Source organism: Homo sapiens, chromosome 3 (assembly GCF_000001405.40).
Source record: "Homo sapiens chromosome 3, GRCh38.p14 Primary Assembly".
Lineage (NCBI taxonomy): Eukaryota > Metazoa > Chordata > Mammalia > Primates > Hominidae > Homo > Homo sapiens.
The window spans coordinates 50,777,621-50,792,845 of record NC_000003.12 but is presented as its reverse complement, the minus strand read 5'-3'; the positions used below and the strand labels follow the sequence as shown (position 1 = coordinate 50,792,845).

The 15,225-nt window shown below is 39.3% G+C and overlaps 1 protein-coding gene and 1 pseudogene across 22 annotated transcripts in view, besides 1 other annotated feature; one reads left to right on the top strand and one right to left on the bottom strand.

Moving 5' to 3' along the window:
• DOCK3 (dedicator of cytokinesis 3) overlaps positions 1-15,225 on the bottom strand; it is a 709,272-nt gene that overhangs the window by 591,353 nt on the left and 102,694 nt on the right. For 21 of the 22 annotated variants that reach the window (XM_005264914.4, NM_004947.5, XM_006713010.4 and 18 more), the window contains exon 2: positions 14,088-14,171. In XM_005264914.4, the coding sequence (XP_005264971.1) occupies positions 14,088-14,171 (84 nt within the window). Of the gene's footprint in view, positions 1-14,087; positions 14,172-15,225 lie in introns of those variants that run through there. The other variant, XM_047447605.1, reaches the window with a different exon arrangement.
• Positions 1,441-2,187: an enhancer, noted in NCBI's record as "OCT4-NANOG hESC enhancer chr3:50828090-50828836 (GRCh37/hg19 assembly coordinates)". NCBI's record gives its function as "activates a minimal SCP1, AML or CMV promoter by ChIP-STARR-seq in primed H9 embryonic stem cells {active_cell/tissue: H9 hESC(primed)}" and the evidence as "EXISTENCE:reporter gene assay evidence [ECO:0000049][PMID:30033119]".
• On the top strand, positions 4,000-6,591 carry ZNF652P1 (zinc finger protein 652 pseudogene 1; annotated as a pseudogene).

Genomic DNA, 15,225 nt, shown 5'->3' with positions numbered 1-15,225 from the left:
CCTCAATGAAATATTCGCAAACCAAATCCAGCAGCACATCAAAAAGCTTATCCACTATGACCAATTTATCCCTGGAATGCAAGATTGCTCTAACGTATGCAAATCAATAAACGTGATTCATCACATAAACAGAGCTAGAAACAAAAACCACATGATCATCTCAACAGATGCAGAAAAGGCTTTTGGTAAAATTCAACACCATTTATGTTAAAAACTCTCAATAAGCTTGGTGAAATAGTAACAGATATCTATGACAAACCCACAGCCAACGTCATAACCAATCTATAAAGCTGGAAGCATTCCCCTTGAAAACCGGCACAAGACAGAGGTGCTCTCTCTCACCACTCCTAGTCAACATAGTATTGGAAGTCCTTTCCAGAACAATTAGGCAAGAAAAAGAAATAAACAGCATCCAAATAGGAAGAGAGGAAGTCAAACTACCCATTTGTAGATGACATGTCCTATACCTACAAAACCCCACAGTGTCAGCCCCAAAGCTCCTTAAGCTGAAAAACAACTTCAGCAAAGTCTCAGAATACAAAATCTACGTGCAAAAATCACTAGAGTTCCTATACACCAACAACAGCCAACTTGAGAGCCAAATCGGAACAGAATCTCATTCACTGCCATAAAAAGAATGAAATACCTAGAAATATAGCTAACCAGAGAAGTGAAAGACGTCTACAAAAAGAACTACAAAACATTGCTCAAAAAAAAAAAAAATCAGAGATGACACAAACAAATGGAAAAATATTTCATGCTAACAGAGAAGAATCCATATCATTAAAATGGTCATACTGCCCAAAGCAATTTACAGATTCAATGCTATTCCTATCAAACTACAATGACATTCTTCACAGAACTAGAAAAATCTATTTTAAAATTCACATGGAACAAAAAAAAATCCCGAATGGCCAAGGAATAAAAAAATATCCCGAATAGCCAAGGCAATCCTAAGCAAAAAGAACAAAGCTGGAGGCATCATGCTACCCAACTTCAAACTATACCACAGGGCCACAGAAACTAAAACAACATGGTACTAGTACAAAAAACAAACACAGAGACCAATGGAAAACAACAGAGCACCCAGAAACAAGGCCACACACTTACTACCATCTGATCTTCAACAAACCTGACAAAAACAAGCATTGAAGAAGACTCCCTATTCAATAAATGGTGCTGGGATAACTGGCTAACCATATGCAGAAGATTGAAACTGGACCCCTTCCTTACACCATGCACAAAAATCAACTCAAGACAGATTAAACATTTGGCCAAGTGCAGTGGCTCACACCTATAATTCCAGCACTTTGGGAGGCCGAGGCGGGTGGATCACCTGAGGTCAGGAGTTCCAGACCAACCTGGCCAACATGGTAAAACCCCATTTCAACATGGTGAAACTAAAAATACAAAAATTAGCCAGACATGGTAGCGTGCACCTGTAGTCCCTGCTACTTGGGAGGCTGAGGCAGGAGAATCACTTGAACCCGGGAGGCAGAGGTTGCAGTGAGCCGAGATGGCACCACTGCACTCAATCCTGGGCGACAGAGCAAGACTCCGTCTCAAAAAAAAAAAAAAAAAAAAAAAGATAGATTTAACACTTAAATGTAAACCCCAAAACTGTAATAGATCACCTAGGCCAATACCATTCGGAACATAGGAACAGGCAAAGATTTCATGACAAAGGCACCAAAAGCAATCACAACAAAGGCAAACATTGACAAATGGGATCTTATTAAACTTAGGAGCTTCTGCATAACAAAAGAAACTATCAACAGAGTAAACAACCTACAGAATGGGAGAAAAATTTTGCAATCTATCCATCTGACAAAGGTCTAATATCGTCTACAAGGAACTTAAACAAATTTATAACAACAACAAAAAAAAACATTAAAAAGTGGGCAAAGGACATGAACAGATGCTTCTCAAAAAAAGACATTCATGTGGCCAAGAAGCATATGAAAAAAAGTATCATTGATCACTAGAAAAATGCAAATCAAAATCACAATGAGATACCATCTCACACCAGTCAGAATGGAAGATCATCGCCCAGGCACACAGTCATCAGGTTATCTAAAGTCAAGACGAAGGAAAGAATCTTAAGAGCTGTGAGGCAAAAGCATCAAGTAACCTATAAAGGAAAATTTATCAGATTAAAAGCAGATTTCTCAGCAGAAACCCTATAAACTTGAAGGGATTGAGGTCCTATCTTTAGTCTCCTTAAACAAAACAATTATCAGTCATGAATTTTGTATCTAGCAAAACTAAGCTTCGTAAATGAAGGAAAGATAGTCTTTTTCAGACAAACAAATGCTGAAAGAATCTGCCACTACCAAGCCAGCACTAAAATAACTGCTAAAAAAAAAAAAAAAGCTCTAAATATTGAAACAAAAACCTCAAAATACACCAAAATAGAACCTCCTTAAAGGATAAATCTCACAGGACCTGTAAAACAATAGCAAATGAGAAAAAAACAAACAAGGTATTCAGGCAACAACCACAATGATGAACAGAATAGTACCTCACGTCTCAATACTAACACTGAATGTATGGCCTAAATGCTCCACTTAAAAGATACAGAATGGCAGAACAGATAAGAATTCACAAACCATGCATCTGTTGTCTTCAAGAGACTCACCTAACATATAAGGACTCATATAAACTTAAGGTAAAAAGGTGGAAAAAGATATTCCATGCAAATGAACACCCAAAGCAAGCAGGAGGAGCTATTCTTACATCAGATGAAACAAACTTTAAAGCAAAAGCAGTTAAAAAAACACAAAGAGGGATATTATACAATGATGAAAGGACTAGGCCACGCATGGTGGCTCATGCCTGTAATCTCAACAGTTTGGGAAGCCGAGGTGGGCAGATACTTGTGGCCAAGAGTTCCAGACCGGTCTGGCCAATATGGCGAAACCCCATCTCTACTAAAAATACAAAAATTAGCCAGGCATGCTAGTGCATGACTATCAGTCCCAGCTACTCAGGAGGCTGAGACACAAGAATCGCTTGAACCCAGAAGGCACAGGTCACACCACTGATGACACCAAGATCACACCACTGCATTCCAACCTGGATGACAGACAGAGAGACTGTCTTAAAAACAAACAAACAAACAAAAAAGATTTAAAAACTAGTCCAACAGGAAAATATCAGAATCCTAGATATATATGCACCTAACACTGGAGCTCCCAAATTTATAAAACAGTTACTACTAGACCTAAGAAATGTGATGGATGGCAACACAATAATGGTGGCGGACTTCAATAATCCACTGACAGCACTGGACAGGTTATCAAGACAGAAAGACCACAAGTAAACAATGGACTTAAACTATACCCTAGAACAAATGGACTTAACAGATATTTACAGAACATTCTACCCAACAACTGCAGAATATACATTCTAATCATCAGTACATGGAACATTCTCCAAGATAGATCATATTACAGGCCACAAAACAACTCTCTATAAATTTAAGAAAACCAAAATTACATCAAGTACTCTCTCAGATCACAGTGGAATAAAATTGGAAATTAACTCCAAAAGGAACCCTCAAAACCATGAAAATACATGGAAACTAACCTGCTGCTGAATGATCATTGGGTCAACAATGAAATCAAGATGGAAATTAAAAGTTATTTGAACTGCATAATAGTGACACAATCTATCAAAACCTCTGGGATGCAGCAAGAGGTGCTAAGAGAAAAGTTCTTAGCATTAAACACCTATATCAAAAAGTCTAAAAGAGAAAAAAGAAGACAGTCTAAGGTCACACCTCAAGGAACTAGAGAAACAAAAACAAACTAAACCCAAACCCAGCAGAAGAAAAGAAATAACAAAGATCAGAGCAGAACTAAATGAAATGGAAACAAACAAACAAAAAAGAAACAATACAAAAGATAAATGAAACAAAAACCTCGTTCTTTGAAAAGATAATAAAGGGGGGTGGCCAACAAAGGAAGGGGACGGGGCGGGCACGCGCCCTCGCAGCCACTCGCCTCCCTCCCTGCACGTACATCCACACACCCACCCCCCTCCCCTGCCTCCCTCCCTGCGCTCTGCCCACCCTGCCACCCTCCTTGCCCTCAGGCACTCAGAAGGAAGTCCAGAGACATGGGAGTGGTGGCCACATAGCACTGTGGCCAGCAGCCGAGGCCAGGTCTGAGGAGCAGTCCTGAGGACAGACATTGGGCAGGAGTGAGGGGCCAGCCTGGCTGGAGGTTGTGACTCTGGCTACAGTCCCCCCACTGCAGGGAAGGACTGCCAAGGCATTGATCTAGGCGGTGGAGGTGGCTGGCCCAGATAAGATGCACCAAGTCCCTTGTAGTTCTCTTCAGAAGAAAAATCACTAGTGGTCTGCTCTTGCCATAATACCAAACCTTTTTGACTTATGCTTTGGTGCTGCAACACTGGAAGAATTCAGTTTCCAGGAATATCTTTTTTTCATTTGAGTGATTCTTAGGGATGGAAAAATATTTTAGTCTTAATAATTACCTTGTTTTAAAGCTATTTTCTTTACAGTCTGAACTGCTTAATAAATTGAGTCATTTACCAATGAGGCACACAGCCACTTCTCGTCAGGAGCTGGTTGAAAACTGTGCTGTGCCTGTAGCAGGAATGGCACAAGATGATAGCCGTCATGGGCAAGTGCCATCCAGCTTTCATCATGGTGCCACAAGGAACTTGACCTGTCCACCAAAGTGTAACAAAGGGAACCAGGAAGTCCTTATTCTGTGTTTGTGGACACCAAGATGAGCAAACTACATCTCCATGAAACAGAAGAACAGCCACATTTCAGGGAGACAGGAGCAGAGTCTGATGTGCATGCTATTAAGGAAGACCAGGAGAATTCTGATGACACAGAAGAGGAGGAGGAAGAAGAGGAAGAAGTCTTTTACAAAAGGGAGCAGATCATAGTGGAGGTAAACCTTAATAATCAAACATTAAATGTACCTAAAGGGGAAAAGGGTACCTCTTCTCAATCCAAAGAGACTCCTGTTCTTAAACAATGAGGAGGAAGAGAGAGAGGAAGGGGCCACAGATAACAGCAATGACTATGGAGAGAATGATAAGCAGAAGAAAAAGGAGAAGATAACAGAGAAAGTCAGCGTTACAGAAAGAAGAATGAGGAGAGCTGCCTCTGTTGCTGCAGCTACCACTTCCCCTACTCCCAGAACTACAAGAGGTTGCAGGAAGAGTGCAGAGCCACCTAAGCGTAAGAAGCGGGAAACAAAGGAGCCTGAAGCACCAGTGCAGAAAGCTAAGTGTGACCTGTGAGAAGTGACCCAGGGTTGTTTTTTGTTTTTGAGACAGTTTTACTCTTGTTGCCCAGGCTGGAGTGCAATGGCGCGATCTCGGCTCACCACAACCTCCATCTCCCGGGTTCAAGCGATTCTCCTGCCTCAGCCTCCCGAGTAGCTGGGATTACAGGCATGCATCACCACGCCCAGCTAATTTTGTATTTTTAATAGAGACGGGGTTTCTACATGTTGATCAGGCTGGTCTCGAACTCCTGACCTCAGGTGATCAGCCCGCCTCAGCCTCCCAAAGTGCTGGGATTACAGGCGTGTGCCCCAGGGTATTTAATGCTCACTGGTGTCTGGAGAAGCAAATGAATATTACTCATAGGCACATGCAGATTTGTGATAAATGTGGCAATAAGTTTGTCCTGGAAAGTGAGCTATATCTTCACCGGCAAACAGACTGTGAAAAAAACATTTAGTTTGTTGCCTGTAATAAATCGTTCAAGAAACTGGATCCTTCATGAACATATCAAGATCGTCCATGGATATGAAGAAAAGAAATTTTCCTGTGAAATTTGTGAGAAAAAATTCTATGCCATGGCTCATGTGCGAAAACACATGGTTGCACACATGAAAGACATGCCATTTACATGTGAAACCTGTGGAAAATCATTCAAATGCAGTATGTCACTCATGGGGCACTCCCTGCAGCATTCTGGAGAGAAGTCCTTCAGATGCGAGAACTGTGACGAAAGGTTTCAGTACAATTACCAGCTACACACCCACATGAGCATCCACGTTGGGCACAAACAGTTCATGTGCCAGTGGTGTGGCAAGGATTTCAACACGAAGCAGTATTTTCATGAACACATGAAAACAAACACTGGAGAGAAACCCTTTATCTGTGAAATCTGTGGCAAAAGATTTCATAAATCATAAAGGCCAGAGTAAGGACAACTTTAAATCATAAAGGCCAGAGTGCGGACAACTTTCTGTGGCAGTTGGCAGAGAAGAACAGTTCAGCACAGCATCATTAACATCCATCTCCTTAAGCGTGTTCTCCAGGAGATAAGTTCCCATGTGTTAGTGTGCAAAGAAAGAAATGGTGGGCGTTTCTTTAGTTCTCAGACTCTCCTTGGCCTCCACTAAGAGTTCTGTGGTTGTCACTGAAACAACAGATCTAAGGAAATAAACAAGAAGACGACCTTGAGCTCACAGAGGGACTGTCATCTAAACCAAGGGAAACACCAAACTAAAGCCCAATATGCTTGCATTTTCTGGTGACTTTTGTAAGTTTCAAATACTCAGACTTCTAGAATTTTATAATTTCATATCAGCTGATTAAAGAAAAAAAGAAAAGATGAATAACACTGATAGACCATTAGAAAGATTAACCAAGAAGAGAGAAAATCCAAATAAGCTCAATTAGAAACAAAACAAGAGATATTACAAGCAATACCAAAGAAATACAAAAGATCATTCAAGGCTACTATGAACATCTTTATGGGCACAAACTAGAAAACCTAGAGATGGACAAATTTCTGGAAATACACGACACTCTTAGATTAAACCAGGAAGATACAGAAACTCTGAACAGACAAATAACAAGCAGTGAGACAAAAATGGTAATTAAAAAAAAAAAATGCCAACAAAAAAAGTCCAGGACCAGAAGGATTCACAGCTGAATTCTATCAGCCATTCAAAGAACTGGTAAAAATCCTATTGAAACTATTCCAAAAGATAGAGAAAGAGGGACTCCCTAAATCATTCTATAAAGCCAGTATCACCTTAATATCAAAACCAGGATAGGACATAACAAAAAAAGAAAACTACACATCAATATCCTTGATGAACATAGATGTAAAAATCCTCAACAAAACACTACGTAACTGAATCCAACAGTATATTAAAAGATAATCCACCATGATGAAGTGGGTTTCATACCAGGAACACAGAGATGGTTTAACATAGGCAAGTCAATAAACGTGATATACTACATAAACAGAATTTAAAACAAAAATCACATGATCATCTCAATAGATGCATAAAAAGGATTTGACAAAATCCAGCATCCTTTATGATTAAAACCCTCAGCAAAATTGGCATAGAAGGGACATACCTTAATAAAAGCCATCTATGACAAACCCACAGCCAACATTATATTGAATGAGGAAAAGACAAAAGCATTCCACCTGAGAACTGGAACAAGACATGGATGCCCACTTTTACCACTTCTCTTCAACATAGTACTGGAAGTCCTAGCCACAGCAATCAGACAAGAGAAAGAAATAAAGGACATCCGAATTGGTAGAGGCAGTCAAATGATCACTGCTCACCAATGACATGATCATATACCTAAAAAACCCTAAAGACCCATCCAAAAAGCTCCTAGAACTGAAAAATAAACTCAGAAAAGTTTCAGAATACAACCTTTTTTTTGAGATGGAGTTTTGCTCTTGTCGCTCAGGCTGGAGTGCAATGGCACAATCTCAGCTCACTGCAACCTCTGCCTCCCAGGTTCAAGCAATTCTCCTGGCTCAGCCTCCCAAGTAGCTGGGATTACAGGCGTGCACCACCACCCCCAGCTAATTTTTGTATTTTTAGTAGAGACAGCGTTTCACCATGTTAGCCAGGCTAGTCTCAAACTCCTGACCTCAGGTGATCTGCCCGCCTTGGCTTCCCAAAGTGCTGGGATTATAGGCGTGAGCCACCGTGCCTGGCCACAGGATGCAAAATTGATGTGCACAAATTTGTAGCACTGCTACACACCAACAGCCACCAGGCTAAGAATCAAATCAAGAACTCAACCCCTTTTACACTAGCTGCAAATAAAATAAAATAAAATACTTACGAATATACCTAATCAAGGAAGTGAAAGACCTCTACAAGGAAAACTATAAAACACTGCTGAAAGAAAACATAGATGACACAAACAAATGGAAACACATCCCATGCATATGAATGGGTAGAATCAATATTGTGAAAATGAACACACTGCCAAAAGCAGTCTACAAATTTAATGCAATTCCCATCAAAATATCACCATCATTCTTCACAGAACTAGAAAAAACAAATCTACAATTCATATGGAACCAAAAAAGAGCCCACATAGCCGAAGCAAGACTAAGCAAAAAGAACAAATCTGCAAGCATCACATTACCCTACCTCAAACCATACTATAAGGCTATAGTCACCAAAACAGCATGGTACTAGTATAAAAATAGGCACATAGACAAATGGAACAGAATAGAGAATCCAGAAATAAACCCAAATACTTATAGCCAAATGATGTTTGACAAAGCAAACAAAAACATAAAGTGGGGAAAGGACACACCCTATTCAACAAATGGTGCTGGGATAATTGGCAAGTCACATGTAGAAGAATGAAACTGAATCCCCATCTCTCACCTTATACAAAAATCAACTCAAGGATGGGTGCAGTGGCTCATGCCTGTAATCCCAGCACTTTGGGAGGCTGAGGCGGGAGGATCACTTGAGGTCAGGAGTTCGAGATCAACCTGGCCAACGTGGTGAAACCCCACCTCTACTAAAAATACAAAAATTAGCCAGGCGTGGTGGCAGGCACCTGTAATCTCAGCTACTCGGGAGGTCGAGACAGGAAAATCACTTAAACTTGGGAGGCGGAGGTTGCGGTGAGCCCAGATCATGCCACTGCACCCCAGCCTGGAAAACAGAGCGAGACTCCATCTCAAAAAAAAAAAAAAAATCAACTCAAGATGGATCAAAGACTTAAATCTAAGACCTGAAACCATAAAAATTCTACAAGGTAACATCGGAAAACCCCTTCTAGACACTGGCTTAGGGAAAGACTTCATAACCAAAAACACAAAAGCAAATGAAACAAAAACAAAGATAAATGGATGGGACTTACTTAAACTAAAAAGCTTCTGCACAGCAGAAGAAATAATCAGCAGAGTAAACAGATAATCCACAAAGTGGGAGAAAATCTTCACAAACTATGCATCTAACGAAGGACTAATATCCAGAATCTACAAGGAAGTGAAACAAATCAAGAAGAGAAAAACAAATAATCACATCAAAAAATGGGCTAAGGACATGAATACACAATTCTCAAGAATTGTCCATTGAGAATCTTCTCAAGGAGATAGACAAATGGCCAATGAACACATGAAAAAATGCTAAACATCATTAATCATCTAAGAAATGCAAATTAAAACCACAATGAGATGCCACCTTACTCTTGCAAGAATGATCATAATTTAAAAATAAAAAAAAAAGATATTGGCACGGATGTGGTGAAAAGAGAACACTTTTATACTGCTGATGAGAACATAAACTGGTACAACCACTATGAAAAACAGTGTGGAGATTCCTTAAAGAACAAAAAGTAGATCTACCATTCAATCCAGCAATCCCACTACTGGATATCTACCCAGAGGAAAAGAAGTCATCATACAAAAAAGACGCATGCACACGCATGTTTATAGCAGCACAATTCGCAACTGCAAAAATATGGAACTAGCCCAAATGCCCATCAGTCAATGAGTGCATAAAGAAAACGTGTGGTGGTACAGACACACACACACACACACACACAAATATACACACACCATGGACTACTCAGCCATGAGCCAAAAAAAAAAAAAAAATCATGGCATTCACAGCAACCTGGATGGAATTGGAGACCATTATTCTAAGTGAAGTAACTCAGGAATGAAAAACCAAACATCATATGTTCTCACTTATAAGTGGGAGCTAAGCTATGAGGATGCAAAGGCATAAGCATGATACAACGGACTTTGGGGACTCGGTGGGGGGAAGGGTGGGAGGTGGGTGAGGGATAAAAGGCTACACATTGGGTACAGTGTACACTGCTCGGGTGATGGGTGCACCAAAATCTCAGAAATCACCACTAAAGAACTCACTCATGTAACCAAACACCACTTGTTCCCAAAAACCCTATTGAAATAAAAAAACTTAATTTTGAAAAGAATTTTTTTTAAAAGCTACACACACACACACACACACACACACACACTCAAAAAATAACAGGTCCCAGCACTTTGGGAGGCCGAGGCGGGCGGATCACGAGGTCAGGAGATCGAGACCATCCTGGCTAACAAGGTGAAACCCCGTCTCTACTAAAAATACAAAAAATTAGCCGGGCGTGGTAGCGGGCGCCTGTAGTCCCAGCTACTCGGGAGGCTGAGGCAGGAGAATGGCGTGAACCCGGGAGGCGGAGCTTGCAGTGAGCCGAGATCGCGCCACTGCACTCCAGCCTGGGCGACAGAGCGAGACTCCGTCTCAAAAAAAAAAAAAAAAAAATAACAGGTACTGGTGAGACTGCTGAGATAAAAGAATGCTTAAACACTGTAGGCAGGAGTGTAAATTAGTTCAACCATTGTGAAAAACAGTATGGCAATTCCTAAAGACCTAAAAACAGAACTGCCATTCGACCCATCAATCCCAATATTGCATATATACCCGAAGGAATATAAATCATTCTATCATAAAGACATATGCATGTGTATGTTCACTGCAGCACTATTCACAATAGCAAAGACATGGAATCAATCTAAATGCCCATCAATTGTAGACTACAGAAAATGTGGAACATATACACCATGGAATACTATACAGCCATAAAAAAGAACAAGATCCTGTCCTTTGCAGGAACATAGATGGAGCTGGAGGCTATTATCCTTAGCAAACTAACATGGGAACAGAAAACCAAATACCACATATTCTCACTTACAACCGGGAACTAAAAGATGAGAATACATGGACACACAGAGGGCAACAACAGACACTGGGGCCTACCAGAGAATGGAAGGTAGGAAGAGGCAGAGGATCAGGAAAAATAACTAATGGATACTAGGCTTAATACCTGGGTGACAAGATCATCTGTACAACAAACCCCTGTGACATGAGTTTACCAATATAACAAATGTGTACACGTACCCCTGAACCTAAAACAAAACTTAAAATAAATAAATAAATATTTCAAATTAAAAAAAATACTACAAATAGAACTACTATATAGCTGAGTGTGCTAGATCATGCCTCTAATTTCAGCATTTTGGAAGGCTGAGGTGGGCAGATCACTTGAGCCCAGGAGCTCAAGACCAGCCTGCCTGGGCAACATGGCAAAACCCCATCTCTACCAAAAAATACAAAACTTAGCCAGGCCTGATGATGTTGTGCACCTGTAGTCCCAGCCACTCAGGAGGCTGAGGTGGGATCACCTAAGCCCAAGGAGGTCGAGGCTACAGTAAGCTGTGATGGCACCACTGCACTCCAGCCTGCTGACAGAATGAGACCCTGTCTCCAAAAAAAAAAAAAAAAAAGAACTACTATATGATCTAGCAATCCCACCCCAGTGGGATTCTTTTTTTTTTTATTTTTATTTTTTATTTTTTGGTCTCAAGATCTCTTTGTGGAGCCACTGGGATTTTATCCAATGGAACAGAAGTCATTATATTGAAGAGACATCAGCACTTCCATGTTTATTGCAGCACTATTCACAACAGCCAAGATATGGAATCAACCTAAGTGTCCAATAACAGATGGATTAAGAAAATATGTTGTATATACACAATGGAATACTATTCTGCCATAAAAAATACTGAAGTCCTGCCATTCATGGTAATGTGAATGGAACTAGAGGACATTATGTTAAGTGAAATAAGCCAAAAAGAGAAAGTTAAACACCTCATATTCTTATTCATACATGGAAGCTAACAAAAAAAACCTGAATGAAGGATACTGGAGGGGAAGGGGAAGGGAGGATTTGAAGAGATTTGTCAAAGGATACAAAATTACAACTAGATAAAAAGAATCAGTTCTAATGTTCTATCCCACATAAGATGACTATAATTAATAATAATATATAGTTTCAAAAAGCTAGAAGGAAAATATTGAACTTTCTCAACCAAAACAAATGATGTTTGGGATAATGGATATTCTAGTTACCCTGATCTGATCACTATATATTATATGCACCAAAACATCACTATGTACCCATGAATACAACTATTATTTGTCAATTAAAAAATAAAAATTTTAAACAGAGCCTGGCACCTCCCCTCACTCTTGCTTTCTCTCTCGCCATGTGATCTCTGCACGTACAGGCTTCTCTTTGACTTTTGCCATGAGTGGAAGCTTCCTAAGGCCCTCACCAGAAGCAGAAGTTGGTGTCATGCTTCTTGTACAGCCTACAGAACCATGAGGCAAATAAATCCCTTTTCTTTATAAATTATACAGCCTCAGGTACTCCTTTATAGCAAAACATAAACAGAGTAAGACAGTAGGTATTCTTGTCTCACTTTTAGATCTCAGTGAAAACTCTTTCAATATTTTATGACCGAATGTGATGTTTGCTGCAGGTATTTTAGTAGCTATCATTTATTAGATAAAGAAAATTACCTTCTATTCTTAGTTCCCTTAGAGTTGTTATCACAAAAGGGTGCTAATTTATACTTCTGTTTTTAAGAAAATTTAAAACGGTACGTGTAGCTCCCTTTCCAGAGAAGTGTACTCCTAAATATATATGATTCCTGGATCATGGTAGGTTACATGTCCTCCCATACCCCTCTTAACAGTAACCCAACTAGATTAGAGCTCCACTCCCATATACATTGGCTCTATACCCACACTGCAACAGTTCTACTTCATTATACCATCTGAGATGGCTTGTAGCCGTACTGAACTGCTAGTCCAGGCTGCCCAAGTTATTTGCCATGGCATCAATTTTGCTTTTGTTAATACTCTGATTTTGTGTAATTTCTCCCTATTTTTCCCATAAATCTTATTAATTACAGATTCTGAAGAACACGATCCATCTCAAGAATGTGTAAATGTTACAGTAGAAATACCCATATATGCCACAGAAGAGGACAGTAGTCAAGCCAAACTACATTTAAACATATTTAGGCCAGGCGCAGTGGCTCACGCCTGTAATCCCAGCACTTTGGGAGGTTGATGTAGGCGGATCAGCTGAGGTCAGGAGTTCAAGACCAGCCTGGCCAACATGGTGAAATCCTATCTCTACTAAAACTACAAAAATTAGCTGGGCGTGGTGGTGGACGCCTGTAATCCCAGCTACTAGGGAGGCTGAGGCAGGGGAATTACTTGAACCTGGGAGGCAGAGGTTGCAGTGAGCTGAGATCGCACCATTGCGCTCCAGCCTAGGCAACAAGAGCAAGGCTCCCTCTCAAAAAAAAATAAATAAACAAAAATTAAAAAAAATTTGAGGACCTGTTCTAATTAGGACTAAAGATGCCCAGCCAATCAGACGGAAACATACAAATAAATGGACTATAACGTAGTTCTATTCAAAGGCAGCTAAGCATGGGTAGATTACCTATTCATAAAAAATAAGTAAGAGGGCACAAAATATAGTTAGATACAATGAATAAGATCTAGTATTTGATAGCACAATAGGGTGACTACAGTCAGCAATAATTTATTGCACATTTTTTAATAACTGAGGGAGTACAATTGGAACCTTTGCAACACAAAAAAAGGTAAATGCTTGAGATGATACTACATGTACCATGTGATTATTACACATTGTATATCTGTACCAAAGTATCTCAAGTACCCCATAAATATATGTAAAAAACGTGTTCTGACAGCCAGAAATTAATTATCTAATTGTTGCTAATATATTAGAATCAAAAAAGCTCATACCTTTATGCTGAACACAGATCAGGAAGAATTTTATATAACACTATTTCATCATGTGACTAATTATGGCTCCAGAATTATTGCTTATAATCTTATTAGCACAAAATAAATGTATATAATACTGCCAAAAATGATCACAATTTATGTGCTTTGTAGGTCCATACTCACCTTCACATTTTTCAAGAATCTGGACTGTTTCTCCTATTTCTAAGACCAACCCTTGAGGGACAGATCCTCGAAAGCTGCATATCACTAGAAAAGCAAGGATAAACACACCAATTAGCATTTTTAAACACTGAGACATGGTCAGAGTCACTGAATTAAGCACTAAATTTTCTTAAATGTATACCTTCCCTTCTTTACTAATTCCTCTTTCTAAAGTGTAAGCCCCTTTCCATTTAATCTACATTTTGAAAAATAATATTAGCAGTTTGGGACAATAAAATACATTGTGGGAAAATTGCTATCCATGAGTGGTGGGTGCATGTGTGCTTGTAGAAAAACATTTCTATTAACAGAGTCTCTGTCCCTTGGATATCCTGTGTTCAAGTGTACTTTTTGAGCAAGTTTGTATCAATTACTTAAGAAAAAAATAATATTAGGAGCTTCTTATCTACCACAAGCAAACAAATAGATATTTTTTAAAAGAATCATCAAATAAATTTGATTATGCTTTGAAAAGCAGAATTCTCATGATAAAAATGAACAGAAACTAATGAAATAGAAAGCATATGCACAACAGAAAAAATCTATAGATAACAATCAAAATCCCGTAACTTTTTTAAGGAAATTGACAAACTGATTCCAAAATTCATATAAGAATACAAAGAATAAAGAAAAGCCCCATCTTACCTCAAAGTAATAAAAGCTATATATGACAAACCCACAGTCAAATCACACTGAATGGGGAAAAGTTGAAAGCATTCCCCCTGAGAACTGGAACAAGATAAGGATGCCCATTTTCACCACTTCTCTTTGACATAGTACTAGAAGTCCTAACCAGCAATCAGGCAAGAGAAAGAAATAAAGGGCATCCAGATTGGAAAAGAAGATGACAAACTGTCACTATTCATCAATGATATAATCATATACTTAGAAAACCCGTCATACAAAAGATTCCTAGATCTAACAAACAAATTCAGTAAAGTAAGGTCTCAGGAACAAAATCAATGTACACAAATCAGTAGCACTGCCATACACCAAAAATCAAGCTGAGAATCAAATCAAGAACTCAATCCCTTTTACAACAGCTGCAAAAAATAAAAATAAAATACCTAGGAATATACTTAACCAAGGAAATTAAAGA